General features: G+C 34.1%; 1 protein-coding gene across 5 annotated transcripts in view, besides 3 other annotated features; it reads right to left on the reverse strand.

The window, feature by feature from the left end:
• CDH10 (cadherin 10) overlaps positions 1-20,201 on the reverse strand; it is a 157,879-nt gene that overhangs the window by 86,714 nt on the left and 50,964 nt on the right. For all 5 annotated transcript variants that reach the window (NM_001317222.2, NM_001362460.1, NM_001317224.2 and 2 more), the window contains one exon: positions 19,447-19,800. Coding sequence is in view for 4 of the 5 variants with exons in the window: in NM_001362460.1 (NP_001349389.1) it covers positions 19,447-19,677 (231 nt within the window). In the remaining variant the exon portion in view is untranslated. The remainder of the gene's footprint in view (positions 1-19,446; positions 19,801-20,201) is intronic.
• Positions 3,933-4,102: an enhancer, noted in NCBI's record as "experimental_84111 CRE fragment used in MPRA reporter constructs". NCBI's record gives its function as "activates a minimal promoter by MPRAs in K562 erythroleukemia cells, with activity observed for both the introgressed and non-introgressed 5:24577940 variant alleles {active_cell/tissue: K562}" and the evidence as "EXISTENCE:reporter gene assay evidence [ECO:0000049][PMID:34662402]".
• Positions 3,933-4,157: a biological region, named in NCBI's record as "Neanderthal introgressed variant-containing enhancers experimental_84111 and experimental_84123".
• Positions 3,988-4,157: an enhancer, noted in NCBI's record as "experimental_84123 CRE fragment used in MPRA reporter constructs". NCBI's record gives its function as "activates a minimal promoter by MPRAs in K562 erythroleukemia cells, with activity observed for the introgressed 5:24577995 variant allele {active_cell/tissue: K562}" and the evidence as "EXISTENCE:reporter gene assay evidence [ECO:0000049][PMID:34662402]".

A 20,201-nucleotide genomic window follows, 5' to 3' on the forward strand; every position in this document is an offset into this window, starting at 1 on the left:
TATCGCATTAAATATTTATAACCATTTTCATATTATATATATTTATATTTACATATATTTCATATTATATAAAAAATATATATATTTTTGAGACGGATTCTCTCTCTGTCGCCCAGGCTGGAGTGCAGTGGCGCGATCTCCGCTCACTGCAAGCTCTGCCTCCCGGGTTCACGCCATTCTCCTGCCTCAACCTCCCGAGTAGCTGGGACTACAGGCGCCTGCCACCACACCCGGCTAATTTTTTCGTATTTTTAGTAGAAACAGGGTTTCACCATGTTAGCCAGAATGGTCTCGATCTCCTGACCTCGTGATCCGCCCGCCTCGGCCTCTCCAAATTGCTGGGATTACAGGCGTGAGCCACTGCGCCCGGCCTATCATAGTATATTAACTTGAGTAATTGCATGCTAGCTTTGCAGTCCTCAAGCCACTACATAAATAACAGTGATTATGATTAGTGACCAAATATGTCACTTTTTTCAAAATCCATCAGTGATTGATCACTGCGTATCTATTATTCAATTCATTTACAGATACTTAAATGTGTAGTTGCATTGTCTGGTTGGTTCTCAGTGATAAACTCGCATGACATTTTACAAAAATGGATAGTTGGAAGAGGATATTGGCCAAAATAGATGAAAGTGTAGCAAACCAAATATGACATTCTTGCAAGTAAAATTCGAATCAAACACAAGTGCAGCTGTAGAACAAATTACAACCACCACGGGAATATTGACGGTGTCACTACTTGAGATCTGATGCCACTCCAGATCTGATGCCAACTGAACAGTGAACAAGATATTGACATATTGAATAATGTGGATGTAAAGAAAAGAATGAAATGTCACAAAGGAAGTAACACCAGAACAAAATATCCTATTGAAGGAACTTCAGAGATGTTTGACAACAAACTCAGAAAGGAGTATGACAATTAACTTCCGAACTAACATAACAAAATAAAGACTTAGAGTTAATGGGCAAATACTAAGATATTATTTTTTAAATTTAATTAGTTCAAAAGATGATAGGAAAAAAAAACCAGAGAACAAAACTAGACGGTACAAATAGAAAACAAATAGATTATAAATTCAAACCTAACCCATGAAAGATACCTTAAATGTAAATAGTACAAATACCTCAATATGTTATTTAGAAATGAAGTTAATCACTATTACACAAGTCTGTTTTCAGGTAAATTTTTCATGGTCACTCAAACGGATCTGAGACAAGGAGGTTAATTTCACATTCAAAATGTCTCCTGCTGGTCCAGCACCAGTACCATGGCTCATGCCTGTAATCCCACCACTTTGAGAGGCTGAGGCAGGCAGATCACCTGAGGTCAGGAGCTCCAGACCAGCTTGGCCAACATGGCAAAAACCCCTCTCTCCTAAAAATATAAAAATTACCCAGGCATGGTGGCATACACCTGTAATCTTAGCTACTCAGGAGGCTGAGGCATGAGAATCGCTTGAACCCGGGAGGCAGAGGTTGCAGCGAGCTGTGGTCACGCCACTGCACTCCAGCCTGGGCAACAACAAAAACAACAAAAAAAAAAAAAAAAAAGGAAAAAAAAGAAAAGTCTCCTGCATCCTCAGTCTGTAATTTTAGAGTAGTTTATTGTTTCCATCTTTTACGAATTACGTTAAGATACTTTACCTAAAAATCAACTTAATGCTTAATGAACACTTGGCTCTATTATATTGCTTTAAAATGTTTGGGTTTTTGTTAAAATATAATATTTTTGAAAGCCAGAAGCAGATACCACTGGTCATAGCATTTCCTCAGCATCTAACTGAGGTTCTCAAATAAACATTTTTATTGAATGATTGAATAAATAAATATAAATGAACAAACATACGTTCACTTAAATGTAAGGAGTGCCTGCTTTACTTTTTGTAACATTGTTTCCAGTGATGGAAATATTCCTTTCCAATAGTATTTCCATGTGCTTTTATATTCTTTATATTTAAATACCTGTGCAAGTTTTATAGTGTGTTTAGATATCTTAATGTTTAGCCATTATTCTGTTCTTGAGAGTTTGAATAGGTTTCTATTGTATATTTTATAAATAGCACTTCTATAAACATTTTTTTTCTCTTTGGAGTTAACTTCCAAAATGTTCAAAATGCTATTATTGGATCAAATATATAAAAACTTACTGTTTGTTACCTATTGTCTGAAATATTGACTCCTGCTGATTTGAATTAACCCAAAGAGCTATCATTCCTGCATATCGGTTTCCTACAAACCTGCCAATAACATTTTTATGTATTTTTATAACTTTAATTATTTTAGGGCATTTATTTTTCTCATGTGGAGAGACAATTTGACTTTTCTATGTGATAATCTCTCATCTGTATTTCTTCAATTTTATCAGCTATAAACCAAAATTAAATTTCCTTATTGCTAGTGACAATAGCAATTAAGGTGAGGGTGACTTTTCCATTACTGAGTTGTTCCTGATGTGTATTACATTGATATCTCATAATACTTTATATCACCTTTTAGCATTTATTTTATTATTTTAGATTGTTTTTTCAACTTAGAGCCACGTGCTTTAGAAGATTATTATGTAACTTGACTTAAATTCTGGTAGGTTAAACCTCTTCACCATCTTTTTATTTGAAAAATGTCTTCTTGAAATGTCTTATTCGATCACTGGGCTAGAAAATACAAGATGAGACTGAGACATCTTGCAGTGCTCAAAATAAGAAAGTAAAAGTGCTCAAAACCCAAAACGATAGGGCAGAGTTCCCAATGGCCAAAGCTGGATCAATCTGAGTAACAAAGTCAGTCAAATAGTATTAGATTATAACCTAAAGTAAAAAGTAAATATCCAGGTGTAAATGTGAATATAAATAAATTACTAAATAAATAAATGAACAGGGGAGAAGAGACAAATATCCTACAGAAGAATTTCAGGTAATTTTGTAAATCTACACTTCAAAAAGTTAGAGAAAAATTGGCAGTCCCTTAAGAGTGGACTATGCTTAGTGACTAGTTTCCAAAAGGACAGTATAGAAAGCAGCATGCCAGTGGAGACTTTACCTAGGTTTCAAGGTTAACATGATCACTAATGAGCAATATTGAAAACATCTGTCCATGCCATGATATGATGTGCTGAGAATGGCATTTTTACCTCAGTGGTCTTCCTCCCAAAGCCCACAACCACAGTCTGTCCATTAGCTAAAATATTAAAAAAAAAAAACCCAAACTGAGAGATATTCTACAAAACACTCTAGTACACCTCAACGTCAAAGTTATTTAAAAAAAAAAAACCAAAAACTGTGAAGCTTCCACAGCATAAAAGAATTTAAGGATACATGATGGCTAAATGCACTGTAGTTTTCTGGTGGAATTCTAGAGGTGAGAAAGGTCATTAGGGAAGAAACATGAAAATCTGAATAAACCACAGAATTTATTTAATAACAATGTATACCTATTGGCTGATTATTTGTGACAAAAGTACTAAAGTAACTGAAAATGATCGCAAGAGGGGAAGTGAGTTGTGGGATATACAGGACCTTCATATTATCCTGTAACTTTTCTACAAACCTGAAAGTATCATAAAATATAGTTGTTCATTAATACGTTTTTCAAAATTTTAATTGCATAGATTTTCCATCACTCTTTATTACAACAATATTCATCTCATTTCCTTGCCTGCATACATGCAAGAAGATATGACAATAAAATAAACTCTGGCAGGAAATATTAGATAAACCAACTGATCTGTTAACGTTTCTCTTTCACTACATATAGTAAATAATTAAGAATATAGAATTTATAAGTCAAACATAATATTCTTATCAGGTATATGTCTGGTTTAGAAATTGATTTAATTTATGAATTTCCTAGATTTAGATTTCTTCCAACTCCTAAATTAATTCTAAACCTGTATTCTGTTGAGAGAATCTAAGCTGTCACCTTGTTCCTGAGGCTATAGGACGGCCATGCTCCTCTCATATATGTTATAAAAATTGAAGTCCTTACCATATAACAAGACCATTTTTACTGGGCCCCACACAAATAATAAGGACTGAAATCTTTGTTCAGTGTTGTTAAAGAGCACAATGATCAACACAGTCACAATCTACTAAATAACTAAATGTCATTAGAAGCCAATTCCATATGCTAACCCATACTGTCACCATTCTTCAGCATTGAAGAGCCTGACCTTCACTTGTAATGTCTCTATGAGGAAATGTGTAATGGAGAGGACAAATACCTGCCTCACCCCACCACAGTGCTGGTGAGGAGAGGACACTTTCCATTGTCCCTTCAGAGGGAGCAGAAGAGTGAAGCTCAACAAATGGGGCAGCAGCTAGATCTTTCATAAAATAGGTGTCCAAAATGAGAAGATTTCCTTAATGCCAATGAATACATTGTAACCAAGAAAATGGTTTTCACAAGCTTTATTATTTTTTGCCTAAGTTGGGTAACATGGAACTGACTCAGAAATGTTCATAGAGTTCACCCTTTTAAGCTAAAAAGTAATTACATGTTTTTAGCAAGTCCTGTCTTCAGCAGTTGGTTTATTGAAAGAAGCATCTTCATCTTCTTCATCTAGCTGTAGATGACCAGAAGACACATGGATTCTGGCCATGGAGACTTTATTCCTTTGCCATACAAAGAGTAATAGTCTGGTTTAAGAATCTCTGCTTCAGAATCACTGGATTCACCAGCTACATATCTTTCTGCTATACTCTGATCCATTAGAACTGCTGGAAACTCCTGCTCTGCAAATATATATGCATTACTGTTTTGTTTGTCAAAATCAGTATTTAATAAGTGCTAAAAATGAGGTTTACTAAAACTAAGGCTAGAAACAAGGAGAATTCAAGTATCTCTATAACCATTGAAGAAAACAAATCAGTAGCTCATTTTTTTCTACAACAAAACTGTGGCATTATAGGATATCTTTAATGAATTCTGTCTACCATTCATGAAAGCAATAATTCCATCTCACAGAAATTATTTAAGACAATGGAAAACATGTTGATACTGCCTACCTGATTTTATGTGGCTAATATAAGTTTGCCATCTAAATCCAACAAAAAGAGTTAAAGAAAATGCATTTTACAGGGAAATATCTTGTATAAAAAATGAAAAATTTTATAAAACTCAAAAATTTTAAACAAGCAAATGGAAGATAATAATTTTAAAAAGTTATAATTACCAATATTGACTTCTTCCAGATCTTCAAATTTGGTTCAAATGAGAAATATTATTTAAGGTAATCACTCAGGTTAATTTACTAAAGGGGAAATAAACAGGTCAATAGAGTTATAAATATATATGAAAAGATTTCATATTCATTTATGAGTAAAAAGAAGACACTATGATTAAAAGGCAATTCCTTCTTCTGCTAAAGATATCTTTAAAAACAACCTTAAGATACTTTATAATTAAGAGTAAAATGGTAAACATTTTCTCTGAAACCAGGAACAAAATAAGAATTCTCCCTATCATATTTCTTATTCGATATTGTATTAGATTCTTTATTCATGCAGAAAGACAAGGAAAACAAAAATATATATATATGTATACATAAATATACATCTATGTATATAGATATATATTTTTTCTTGATTACACTGACACTGTTCCCTGCCAGATACTGCTGCACGTATTTGCTCCTTTCTAGCAAGACTTTCTAAAGTTTGCTCACATGTGCTTTCTCCACTTTTTCTCCCTGTATGCCCTTTTAAATCCACTGCAAAAAGAATGCTGGACTCACTACATCATGAAATTACAAGCATCAAGCACACTTATAACCTCATGGAAACCAAAGTTAACAGTCAATTCAAACCTCTCCTCATTCTTGACTTAGCAGCAGCTTTTGACAAGGTTGACACATTCTCTTCTCCTTACATTTTCTTTGTCTTCTAAGAGGTTTTCCTGCAGCTCAAGAAATATTTATTCTCAGTTTCATTCATTGTTTTTTCTTCTCTCTCTCTCTACCATACACATGTCTTAATGAGGGTTTGCCCCTGAAAATGGACCTAGTTCTTCTCTCACTACACTCACATTTTTTTGCATATTATCTAGTCCCATGACATTAAATACCATACAGAAGGTAATTACTGCTAAGAGGTTCCAATTTACAATTCAAAACTTCATGTATCTTACTCTATCTAAAGCTGAAATCTGTTTTTTTCTCCCTAATGCTCTATCGCTTCAAATAAAAGCAGATTTATAGTCTCCAGTTGCTAAGGCCAAAATCTTTGACTTAGGAGTCATCCTTAACAACACTCCCAAAAACTCCATATATAATACTTGAGAAATTTCTGTTGTATCAACTTTAAAGCCAGAAGACAGAGTGAAAATTCTATTTTTTTAACTTTTATTTTAAGTTCAGAGGTACCTGTGCAGGTTTGTTATATAGGTAAACCCATGTCATGGGGGTTTGTTATACAGATTATTATATAGACTATATATAATTTTTGAGTTTTATAAAATTATTCATTTTTATACAAGATATTTCCCTGTTAAATACCTTTTGTTTAACTATTTTTATTGGATTTAGATGGCAAAGTTATATTAACCATATAAAATCAGATAGGCAGTATCAACATGTTTTCCATTCTCTTAAATAATTTGTGTGAGATGGAATTATTGCTTTCATGAATGGTTAGAAGAATTTACTAAAGATATTCTATGATACCTTAGTTTTGTTGTAGAAAAAAATGAGTTACTGGTTTGTTATACAGATTATTTCATCACCCAGGTATTAAGCCGAGTATCCATTAGTTAAAACTTAGTTAGTATAATATCAACCTTCTGCTAAAAATTCTACAGTATCTTCCCATGTAACATAGAGTAAAAGTCAGAATTTATATAAGACCCTACATATTAGTTTCCTATTCCTATTGTAAGAAATAACCACAAACCCAATGAATTAAAACAACACAAATTAATTTTCTTATAGCTGTTAAATGTCAGAAGTCTAAAACCAAGGAGATGATAGGGTTGCATTCCTTCTGGAAGCTTCAAAGGAGACTCCGCTTCCTTGCCTTTTCCAGCTGTCTGCATTCTGTGGCTTGTGTCCCCTTCCTTCATCTCCAAAGTGCATCATTTCAACCTCTACTTCCATTGTCACATCTCTTTTTTCTAAAATTGACTCTCTTGCTTCACTCTTGACAGAGACCCATGAGTTATGTTGGGATCATTCATGTAATCCAGGATACTTGCTTCACATCAAGATCCTTAATTTGATCACATTTGCATAGTCTCTTCAGACATTTGAAGTGACATGCTCACAGTTGTGAGGATTAGGGTGTGGCCATCCTTGGGGGCCATTATTTAGTCTACCACACCCTAGGGATTCTGGGCACCCCCCGACCCATTACCTCTTTTCCAACCTCTTCTCCTACCACTTTCCTCTTGCTTCCTTTGCTTCAGCTACAGTTGACTCCTTGCTTTCCTCAAATATTCACTAGAACCTCTCAATTTTAAAGCATTTGCAGTAACTATTTCTTCTTCATGAAAACAGTAACCCCTTGATAACTGCTGGTCTCATTCACTTCCTTCCAGTCCTTTGCTCAAATATCACCTTCTCCGTGAGGAAGCATTGATCACCATGACCTGTTCTGCCCTATTCCCAATATTCCTTATCTTGCTACATCTCTTCTTTTCTGATTGCACTTACATTTGTAACAACTATAAGAATAATATGTCTCACATTTATTTTGAATTTCCTGTATTTCTCACTAAAAATGCAAGCTTCGTGAGGACAGGATGGTTGCCTTCCATGCAGTGATGTGACCAAGTGACCTAGAGATTGCCCAGAAAATACTTGGTGTTCCACGCCTGTTATGAATTTGTGAATGAAGCAATCCACAAGAAAACAATAGACATCCTGAAGAAACTATTGGTAAAACACTTGAAAAACTTCAATACGTGGTTATAATCATCCAGACGAAGTGTCAAAGTAACCGAAACTTGAACTGTTTACTAAATTCTAGAACAGATAACCCAGGATGGAACCCTTAAAAATTGTGTTTATTTCATTATTTGCTTGGATTTATTTTTGGTAACACAAAAAGTAAACGTTTTGATCTAAAAAAACTTAATTACAAAGATGGAAGATTACTGATATTGAGAAAAATGAGAATAAAAAAGATATTTTTAAAATTCTAAAAATAAGAAGTTAAGATGTTGACATCAAATAACAGGAACTCATTCACTGCTGGTGGAAGTTTTACTGGTTACAACTTAGGAAAGTACTATGACAACTTCTGAAAAGATTAAAGCTAGGTTCATACTATAGAACAGCAATTTTACTTCAGATTATATACTAATGTACATGAGTATCAGGATACATGCACAGAAATGATCGTAGGAGCATTATTGGTAACAGTGAAAACTAGGGGAAGAGGCCACTCCATATACACATTGATATTGCATAACATATCCATTGATATGTGATCCATATTAATAGGATTGTACTGAATTCAAATACGTTTATGTAGAAAGATACGCTACACAACAATATTTGGCAAAAGAAGAAAGACAAAAGATTATCTGAACTATGATTATGCTTAAATTTCAAAAATAGCCAAAATTCTAGTATTTTATTTAGAAATACCTATATAGATATTCAAACTATAAAGAAAAACAGACACTATTATCACAAAATAAAGCTTAATAGCACCTCTTGGAAGGAAAAATGGTGTTGCTATTAATACACCACAAAGAGGGATTCCTGGGGGCTAGAAATTTTCCATTTCCTGGCCTGGGGAGAGGACACATCCATTGATTTGTATTTATTTGTTAAAGTGTATACATGTTTTATGTAAATTGAAATATGCATTATTTAAAAAATTTTTAAAACATAAAGGTCAATTAATAAAGACAGACTGTGGATCAAAAAAAACACTACCATGTCAATAGAAAGATTGACAAAGGATCTGAACACATTTGCAAAACGCAAAATGCTTCAAACACATAGATGCTCATGCTCACTTAGCATGAACAATAAAATGTCACTCATAAATCTTTTCACTTATAAACCAAAATAAATAAAAATGATAATGGTGATACAGTGATTTGCTACAGATGTGGAAAAATAGTTACTTTCCTAGTCATTGGTTTAGGTTGAAACAACCTCAATGGAGAGTAATATAAAATCCCTATCAAAGTTTAAAACTTTTCAAGACTATGCTTCAGGGTTTCTACTTGTAGTCATATTTCCTAAAGATATAACTCTGTGTCAAATAGCACCTGTCATATTGCTATATTAGTAATTTTTTTTAAAAAAACTAAACGTCCTTTAAAAATGTTAAAACAATTACAGTGCACCCATTAGAAAGAATATTATTCAGCTACTCAAAAAGAGAAAAACATCTTTATGTACTGTAATGCAGTGAGTCCTAGGTTACATTTTTTAGTTAAAAAAAAAAAAAAGCAGATTCCATTAACATCTCACATCTCATAAAGTACACTGCCATGTTTCCAAAAACAAGATAACACACGTCTTTACATGTTTCTCTTGGAATATGTAACAAAAAACTGGAAATATATATATTTTTAAAGAAGAAAACTAGGGATATCTGAGGATCAAGATGAGAATCTTAGTTTTAACTGTATACCTTTTCTGTATAAAGTGCATGCATCATCAATTCCAAATATAAATTAAATAATAAACACATAATGGCTATGAAAATTAATTGGATTTTTCTGTGAAATAGTCAAAATAGCTCTATTACATATGCAATCTTAGTTTTGTACTTAACTAGAAAAAAATCTGCTAATTTATTAATCAGTGCACTACTTAAAAATATAACTGTTTTGATGTGGTAATATATATTAATAAATGTAAGAATATTCTTTTTTGTTTGTTTGTTTTTTTGAGACGGAGTCTCACTTTGTTGCCTATGCTGGAGTGCAGTGGCGCAGTCTCCACTCACTGCAATCTCCGCCTCCCGGCTTCAAGCAATTTTCTGCCTCAGCCTCCTGAATAGCTGGGATTACAGGCATGTGCCACCAAGCCCAGCTAATTTTTGTATTTTTAGTAGAGATGGGGTTTCCTCATCTTGGCCAGGCTGGTCTTGAACTCCTGACCTCGTGATCCACCTGCCTCGGCCCCCCAAAGTGCTGGGATTACAGGCGTGAGCCACCGTGCCCGGCCAAGAATATTCTTAATAATGGCGAATGAGGTATAATGTTGATTCTAATCCTGGAGTCATACGTTCAGGGTCAGAAGTCCATTTTTACAACTTTCTTGATTCTTACCACTAGAAAACTTAGACAATGAAGGCACATATTTTTTTCTTAATTATAAATGAAAGATAATTGGAACTACCTCATGAGGTTGTTGAAATCCTAAAATAATAAAATAAACTTTAAAGGTATCATTATCAGGCTACATCAAGTTTCAAAATATTATATATCTCATTTAACTGTACCCCCAAAATTGTATGTGATAGTAATTATACCAATATTTTCTTCCAGAAGAACGTTAAATACAGATGATGAGAAAGGTCTTTTTAAAAACTGGTGATTTAAATTAGCATGTCTTTTTTTTCTGATTATGTATGATGGTGACTTTGAGCTTAATAGTTATATTTAATTACAATTTTTAACAAAAAGAGTGAGCTCACCTGATGTTCACGTTCACATCCTTTCTTTTCCTTTTTTTTTTTTTTTTTTTTGTGTGTGTGTGAGAGAGAGAGAGAGAGAGAGAGTCTTGCTCTGTTGCCAGGCTGGAGTGCAGTGGCACAATCTCGGCTCACTACAACCTCCGCCTCCAGGGTTTACAGGATTCCCCTTCCTCAGCCCCCTGAGAAGCTGGGACTACAGGCACGTGCCACCACGTCTGGCTAATTTTTTGTATTTTAGTAGAGACGGGGTTTCACCATGTTGGCCAGGCTGGTCTCGATCTCCTGACCTAGTGATCCACCCGCCTTGGCCTCCCGAAGTGCTGGGATTACAGGTGTGAGCTACCGTGCCCGACCTCACATCCCTTTTTACTATCCACATCATAATTTATCTTACCTTTCTGGTTGTCTAGTTGTTCATCATTTCAAATATAGCTTTTTTTTTTCCCCCCTGATACAAGGTCTCACTCTGTCATCCAGGCTGGAGTGCAGTGGCATGATCTTGGCTCACTGCAGCCTCAAACTCCGAGGCTCAGGTGATCTTTTCACCTCACCCTTTCTGGTAGCTGGGACTACAGGCACGTGCCACCATGCCTGGATAATTTTTTCTATTTTTAGTAGAGACAGTGTTTTGCCATGTTGCCCAGGCTGATCTCGAACTCCCAGTCTCAAGCAATCTTCGCTTCGGTCTCCCAAAGTGCTGGGATTGCAGGCGTGAGCCACTGCACCCGGCCCACTTAATTTTTAATCTTAATAATACGACTCTGAAAACCTAGCAAGTAGGCTTCTTCCAGTCTAGCTCAAAGCCATCTTATTCTCATTTGCCCAGATTATTACAACTAGTCTCTCCTGGGTCCACACTGATCTCGAAATTGCTACATCTGTCCCTGTAATGAGTTTGTATCACTCAACAAGATCAGTCATCAATTCCTTGGAACGTTTTGCTTCTTTGGCCTCTAGAAGGGTCATAGTCTCCTTCCCTCCACCAACACACAAACATACTTTTTCTTTAAAAAACAACAACAACAACAACGGAGTTTAGCTTTTGTTACCCAGGCTGGAGTGCAGTAGCGCAATCTCGGCTCACTGCAACCTCCGCCTCCCAGGTTCAAGCAATTCTCCTGCCTCAGCCTCCCAAGTAGCTGGGATTGCAAGCTCCTGCTACCACGCCCAGCTAATTTTTTGTATTTTTAGTAGAGACAGGGTTTCACCATATTGTCCAGGCTGGTCTCAAACTCCTGACTTCAGGTGATCCACCTGTCTCAGCCTCCCAAAGTGCCGGGATGACAGGCATGAGCCACCGCTCCCAGCCCAAACATACTTTTTCTTGGATTTTCTCTACATCTAGGAGTAAACATAATCAAAGGTCATTTCCTAGATTTTTGTTTTTTTCTCTTTATTGTGTCCCTTCAGAAGCTCAGTTATCACAGGGGCGGAAGCCTAGTCCTCTCATGATTCACAGTTCTGTCCCTCCGCTCTGCTAGACTCAGGAAAATCAAACAAACTAGATTTGGTGCTAAGCCTATGATGCAGACTTGCAAATAGCGACAGAGGAGTGTCAAAGAAAATTGAAAAAGCTCAGTCGTCTTGCACATTTTTTGGGGTGGTATTTGAAAATGACACCACTGAATGCTGAGAAATTTGATGATGTAAGTTAAGCTAAACTGCAGCCAAATTTAAATTCCTTTAGAAAATTTGATATAATAGTATACATTCTTACAGCTCAATTTCCTACTTGATAATATACCTCTAATCTTGGGCTAGGATTTAACATTTTAATTCAAAGTTCTACATTTAATAGCTTTATGTAATCTATAAATGCATAGTATATTTTTAAACATGAAGTTAGTGAGATAATTTTGCTAAAGGGGGAATCTGAAATTTACATTAAATTCCCTTTGCCTACTGTGGATTAGAGCTCTAAAGAGAGAAGCAAAGGTTTTAAGTTATAGTTTAACAAAGTTGCTGCTCCCCTCTCAATTTTAATCCACCTACCTGAAAATTTACATGCTTTATTAACTCCTTTTTTTTTTTTTTTTTTTTTTGAGACGGAGTTTAGCTCTTTTTGCCGAGGCTGGAGTGGTGCATTGGGGCAATCTCAACTCACTGCAACCTCCGCCTCCCGGGTTCAAGCGATTCTCCTGCCTCAGCCTCCCATGTAGCTGGGACTACAGGCATACACTACCATGCCCGGATAATTTTTTTGTATTTTTAGTAGAAACAAGATTTCGCCATGTTGGTCAGGCTGGTCTCGAACTCCTGACCTCAGGTGATCCACCCGCCTTGACCTCCCAAAGTGCTGGGATTACAGGCGAGAGTCATTGCATCCAGTCTATGTTAACTCTTAATTAAAATTACCAGGAGTCATGGAACACAGTTCAGTGATTAATAACAATAATAATAATAGTAAAACAATAAGATAGCCCATATTCTTTTTTTTTTTTTTTTTTTGAGCCGGAGTCTCGCTCTGTCGCCCAGGCTGGAGTGCAGTGGCGCGATCTCTGCTCACTGCAAGCTCCGCCTCCCGGGTTCACGCCATTCTCCTGCTTCAGCCTCCCGAGTAGCTGGGACTACAGGCGCCCGCCACCGTGCCCGGCTAATTTTTTGTAATTTTAGTAGAGACGGGGTTTCATCGTGTTAGCCAGAATGGTCTCGATCTCCTGACCTCGTGATCTGCCCGCCTCGGCCTCCCAACGTGCTGGGATTACAGGCGTGAGCCACCGCGCCCGGCCGCCCATATTCTTTAATAAAATGGATGTAGACATTTAGCTATATGAAGTGACTATTTAAGAATTTACTTTAAGAAATTTATTAAAGTGCTCCCTCCTATTCATGCTTTCATATGAAACAAGTGAGAATATGAATATATGAACATATGCCAATTATGAGACATTGATGAGCAAACACAATAACAAACATCCCTCTCTTTCATTTACTTTATAGAAAAGAGCATTATTCTTCAATACAATGGGTACAAAATTTAATTGCACATATAATTATGTATTGTCTCCAAGAAAGAAAATGAGAGAGCTCTGGTAGATATTCATAATATCATATTAATAATAACCATGCTTCATTGCCATTACATATGTACTTGTGTGAATTATGTGAATTATGCAAATATGAAGTATTGATAAATTATATTGAGATACCTTCTGCAGAGCAAAATTTATGTGAGATTTAATACAGTTTTCATTTACCAAGATTTCTCTTGAGCTTTTACTAAAAATCACTGACTCCATTTTCATATAATCTTAATATTCTTGACTATATATTTTAAAAATTCTGTATGTGAAAAAATGATTGGCTAAATTATAGATATAAATGTTTTATTTTACTTTGAATATTTTGATGGAATAAAGTTTTTCAAATTTATGACAGAGAATTTTGAGTGCAAAATGTATGCATTCAGGATTTTCCTGAATACTTTGCTAAAATGATATAGTGAGATTTGAAGATGTATTTTCCCTACATAACTGCTAGCTAAAATATTATTGTATTGAGAGATACATACATTGTATGCGTTTTGAGAATTAAAAACAAAGAGGTGGTCTGCTCTGAAGATATTATCACAGTTTTCTGCAAGACATGCCTCTATAAATGCTTTTATTACTTCTTACTTGAAGTCCCTAGAGATTTTAATATAGGTTTACATTTTGCATGTGTGTATGATCTTTACATATTAGAGAAGTAATGTCTATATTCATGCAAATGTCCACTCATCAGGAAGATATTTATAATCATTTAACCCAAAGGAGTCTCTGTCAATGTCTATCACATCAACCTGATTAATGTTTTCCAGAAATTTTTCTAAGTAAAATTTCCTAATGCATTTATCTCTTCATGTCCTATTCATTATATGGTTGCAATGGACATGGTTCAAATAAAAAATAACTGTGTCCCAATATCCCTGTATCCCCTACCCCATCTAACCACTAAAAGCAGGTTTATATTTAGTAAACAGTTGTTTTTTATGTAGGTCCTTTTGGTCATGTTTGGATAATTTTTTTAAATTACTTGGGAACGTTTAGTCTCAAGAACAGTCTCATTTCAGTTATGAAGTAGAGTGTTTTCTACATACTGAACTCTCATATAATGCAAAGATTTTCCACTTGTGCACTTGAGATTTATTTTAGCCTAGGAAGTCTGCAGTGGTGGAGGTCAGAACAGCTTCTCCTCCGACTTCATTCCAGCTACTCCTTCTCCAGCTGTGGCCAGTTGACATGACTGTGTCCATATTATCAAAAGTAAAAGGGACACAGTCTAACCTGGTGGACACAGTTGCTATTTCTGGGCTTTATTGATATTTAAATTTGAGTTAGTCTCTCATGGATCAGTTTCTACAGTTTCAGAGAGATCCTCTAGAAATTTTCAATTATAATTTCCTTATGAGGTATTTCACAGCAAAAATACATTCCCAAGGAATAAACAGATCAATAAAACAATAAAAACATGCTTTTTGAGTCTTCAATCTTAACATTTAGTAACATTGATTCGTACAGCAAAAACCCTCAAACTGTTTTATTTTCACTGTATTTACAAGTACTGCAGAAATAGGACATGGGAATATTTGTTGACTATTGTTTTGTTCTTGGTTTTGGAGTCTGTGCTATATCTGAAACAAAAGGGCCCCATAACTTGCTGTTATTCTTATTATTTGCTGTCTTTGAGCAGAGAGCTTATATTTTCCCCACTGTGTGCATAATACTGGAGTGGTACCTAGAAGGTCCTCCATATATTTGCTGAAAGAAGGAATAAACACTTCATGCATAGTGGGTGTTTGGAGCCGACAAGTCTATAGAGAAGGATGACCACGAGGCTGGAGAAAAATATATGCTTTAAGACTGGACATAAACAGGAGGTCAGGAGATCTTGTTAGAAGTCTACACTGTGGGAAACAAACAGTAATGGTAACTCTGAAGGGAAGAATATAATTGAGAGCATATTTAGAAGTATTGACAGCATATTTAGAAGTAAGAAGCCATGAAGAAATAAAATTAGTACTGTTAGGAAAAGGCAAGAGAGATTTTACTATACTGACTTAGAATCAGATTTATGGTTGCCCCTTTATGTTACTGATTTTTTTTTTTTGGTGTTTTGGGATTTTTCTCAATTTTTGGTTTTGATTAAAATCTGTTTTTAACATGCTTTTTACCACCTGAGACTAATTATAATATTAAATATAGACAAAGTTTGTGCAGTAAATATAGAATTAGTGATTTGCTTAGAACTGCATATTTGTTACAACTAAAAGTAAATTCAAGGCTTTACAGTTTAATATCATTATTTACTTTAGATTTGAAGATATGGAAGCTGAAGAATTTGAAATTATCTGCTCAACGCAACTGGACTGAGCAATAGGAAACTGATTAGAAACTACATGTAAAAAGATATTAAACTAATAAAAAATAGGAGTTTATAATCGCAATGTTCCTTGAATTTAAATTTGGAAATTTTAAAATATTTATAGAAGGTTTCACTACGGAGGTAACATATTTCAAAAGTAGGTTCCTTGAAGTTCAACATGTGAAGCTCTTGCCTTGGAAGATAAAGAGAGGGGAGTGAGTATATAGGAAATACCTACATATTCCAATAAATTCCAGTATACAGGAAGATTCTTAAAGGTCAGTGTTATGATTAGATCATGGAAAAAATGGAAAAAGAAAGCTCTTACACTAAATATATTTTTGTTTAGAATGCATTTAACAGAATGATTTACAGGAAAATGCTTCTATTTATGGCGATCTCAACAAATAAATGTTTTGAATTGAGCATGGTTGACTTTGTTTCTTACAAAACAAAAGGAGTGGTGGCAGTGACAATTAGCCAATGGGCTTTATTACTCTCCGTTCCCTTTCTCTCTCCTCCTCTTAATTTTTTTTTTCTAAATGAGTTTTTAAATACACATATAATTTATATTTATAATGTAATATTATTAGAAGTGAGTACAATAATAGAAATTATTTAGTATCTATATATAGTATATATTATGTTAGTGTATTAGTGTATATAATACACTATAATCATGACCTTTGATTTCATGGATAAGAAAATGAAGGCCAAGAGAAGTTGATAAACCAAGGGGAGAGAAACAGTGGCAAAAACAATGTCACATTCTAGGTTTTCTGATTGACAGTTGTATGTTTTCTTAAGCTCCTCTCTACTTTAACCCAATGAGCAGTAATGGGATTTTCGTTTTGCTTTAACCACATAGCAGTAATGGGTTTCTATCTGAGAAATTATAGGCATCAATTCTTCCTAGGGTCTGGTTAGCTAATTGTTTAGGTATTTAAAAAATTTTTTCTTCTGCTCCACACAGGTGCTTTTTAGTCTTGTCCTCATCAAACCAGTGTAAGTCTCTCCATTGCTAGTGGGAGAGTGCTTTGTGAGCTCCCAAAATATTCCCCACTACAGAGAGATACCTGTCACCATGTTTCCATATGTCTAGTGATTGGAACACATATTACTCCGACATCTAAACCAACCCAGAGGCATTGAAACACTTATCACCATATCACATGTCTACTTTAAAGGATGTAAAAACCGGAATAATTTCTGAAAGAAAATATGACTGTGATAAATTCCTTATAAATAATGATGGAGAGAATATGTGGGGGATTTTAAGTTTTTTATACTTCATGAGGAAAATATATTTTAGCCTCAAGTTATATTTATTGTAATGTTTGTTTATTAAAATATCATATGTTAAACATTGCCTTTTTGTCATATCATGTGTATGTTTATCTCTTAAATAAGATTGTAATTGTATAAGTAATTAATGTAATACAAATAATAAGGCAATTAATACAATAGTATAGTATAGACAAAAAATGTTAAAGCATCTATTTCACAGATTATGACATGAATAAACCACAGAAACTACAAAATTGATTGAAATGTGAGCTAAAATCTAGACACTCTGGCCATTAAAAGCAGACTCAGAGAAGTGTGAGAGTTACAACACCTAAATCATTTCTGTTAACTCTAGTAGTTCAGCACAGTCTACATGGAAAAGAACTGATGAACACATTCATAAATTCCTTACACCAACACTCATTAAAGAGTTTTCTAATTTGTTTTCATAAAGCAGAGTATGAAGCATAAAATTTGAGTTGTATATCAAGATGCATATATATTAAGTTTACCAACTTAATTGTCTTCAGTGATTACAACTTCTAGACTAGTCTTCTCTGCCAAAGAGCCAAATGCCACCAGATGGCAGAGGGAATTCAATTTAATATGACTCAGGTTGATTCAGTCAGCTAAATAGTTATTAAGATCTACTCTAAGAGCTTAATACTCTCTTACTACTCTAAGAGATATGAAGTACAGTTCTTGATTTCAAGGTGTTGATATTTTATGAGATAAAAATAAAAAATAAGAAGTAGCTTGACTATGAGAGTATATAATGTAATGATAATTCAATTTACCAACATTTATTAGATCATCATAAAGTACTAGATGAAGGGAAATAGATGCAAACAAGCTAACTGCTATGTACTAGTTTCTACAGCCCAGATTTCAGTTATTATCTTTCTAAGCAGTTAGTTTCATAAACTAAAAGTTGTCTATGAGAGCAACCTTCACTCTCTATTCCCAGGCTTTAAATCAATAAGATCTATGAAAAGCCTGCTACTTTGTGCTTTCTGGTAAGATTCCTTTGGTTGCTGTTTCTTTTCCTTTTCTTTCTAGTCAACATGATATTTAACCTTTAATATCATCTTTCTCATTTTACCAGATATTTTAAAAGGTCTGAAATGAGTGCAATATGACAAAACATATCAGTGTTTTAAAATCACTGAAAATGTTGTCTCAAAAACAGGGTTTTTAGAAGAAAAAATCTTTCACACAATTTTAATTATTTGAATGAAGATATTATAGTTAAGGTTAATGCAAGAATTGTCAAGGCAGTGATGTATGCATGATAATTGTGTAGTGTTAACATGTGATTTATGTTAGTCTACTTAATTTCCTTTTATTCCTATGACATAGTCTCACAATCTATAAAAATAATAATATTGACTATTAAAATGAATTTTTTTGTAAGCTCTCAAGTCAACTAAGCCTTTATCTAACTTCAATTAGATTCAGATAGCGTCAAGAAAGAAAATTTGAACTGAATACAACATAGTGTGTAAAAGCATTCATTAGTACTTTTATGTTAAGCTTCTCATTTCATTTCCAACCACAACTAATTATCCTCACTAACTTTATAATTCTGTAGAATGAAAACTCTTCCTGTCCACCTCATATTGCAGTAGCTAAACTATTTTTACTTGCTTTTCTTCCTATTCGTTTTTCTTTATACAAATGCACCCATAGTGTGACCTAAGAAAAATAAATAACATTCATACCTAGAATAAATTTTCTTATAATAAGCAACATTTTTGTCCTTGAATCATATTTTGATGACATTTGCTTTCTCGTTCTGTAGAAGATTAAACAACTTTGAAATGTTTTTGCTTCCTCACTGAACTCAATAGCAATGTGAAATATATATATATATATATACACATATGTATTTTCATTTAAATGACTGTATTTACATATAGGTTTCTCACTATCATTGCTTTCTAACCATAAATTCTAAAATTGCAGTTTTGAGTACCTCTTTAATCCATAAGTTATTGGGCAGAATTAATTCTAATAAATAAATTTATGCATTTATCATTTTATATTCATTCCACAGTTTTTATCAAATTGGAATTCGTGTTCCATAAACAAAAATCCTTTAGGGAGATTTAAAGAATCAGATTTATAAAAATGATGGTTTGATGACCTTCAAATTTTCATCAGTAAAATATATAAAGAGCAAATATAAACACGTGCCATTTTAACACAAGCTTACCTTGCCTACGTACTGATAATCAGATCCTGTATATTCTTCAAGTAAGAAAAATTGATTCCACATCCAACCACGTTTTTGACGATGGAGAATTTTGCCATCACTCCTTGGTACACGTGAACTTAAAATTCTTTGCTGTGGCACAGGCGTCCTTCTGAACATTATTTCTGGAGAGCAGAAATGTGGCAGGCATACCCAGAATAGAAACAGTAGCAAAAATTGATGTATTGTCATAGTTCACTTCTTGACAAATCCCAGTGTAGATGAAGAGAAGTGGTCCTATTTTACCCAGTTGGTTTTACTGTGTTTCAACTGGTTTCCAACATTTCATCAATGTTTTGTTCATGTTTCCCAAAGCTTCAAACAAACAAACAAACAAAAAAAGTTAGTTGACAACATTATCATTATTACTTTTCATTTAAAATTTAAAGTGACAATAGTTTATTAATAACAACCAAAACATTCATTTTCTTTATTTTTCATACAATAACGGATAGCTTTGAGAAATATTACTTGTCTAGCAATATGTCTACAATGTACAAAAATATAATTGTAAATGTTTATTTCCACCAAATTCTAAAGAAAGGACATTATTAGGCTTTTTTTTCTTTTGGCACTTTAACAGTTTTTAGTAATTACATTGCTATATACACAGGAGATATAGTTCATTCTGCATGTCAATTTTTTCAGAGTAATTTAATGCAAATTATAATTTTGAAAACAAAACTGATTTAAATAACCTACAGGAATCACGCCTT

This window comes from Homo sapiens, chromosome 5 (assembly GCF_000001405.40).
Source record: "Homo sapiens chromosome 5, GRCh38.p14 Primary Assembly".
Taxonomy (NCBI): domain Eukaryota; kingdom Metazoa; phylum Chordata; class Mammalia; order Primates; family Hominidae; genus Homo; species Homo sapiens.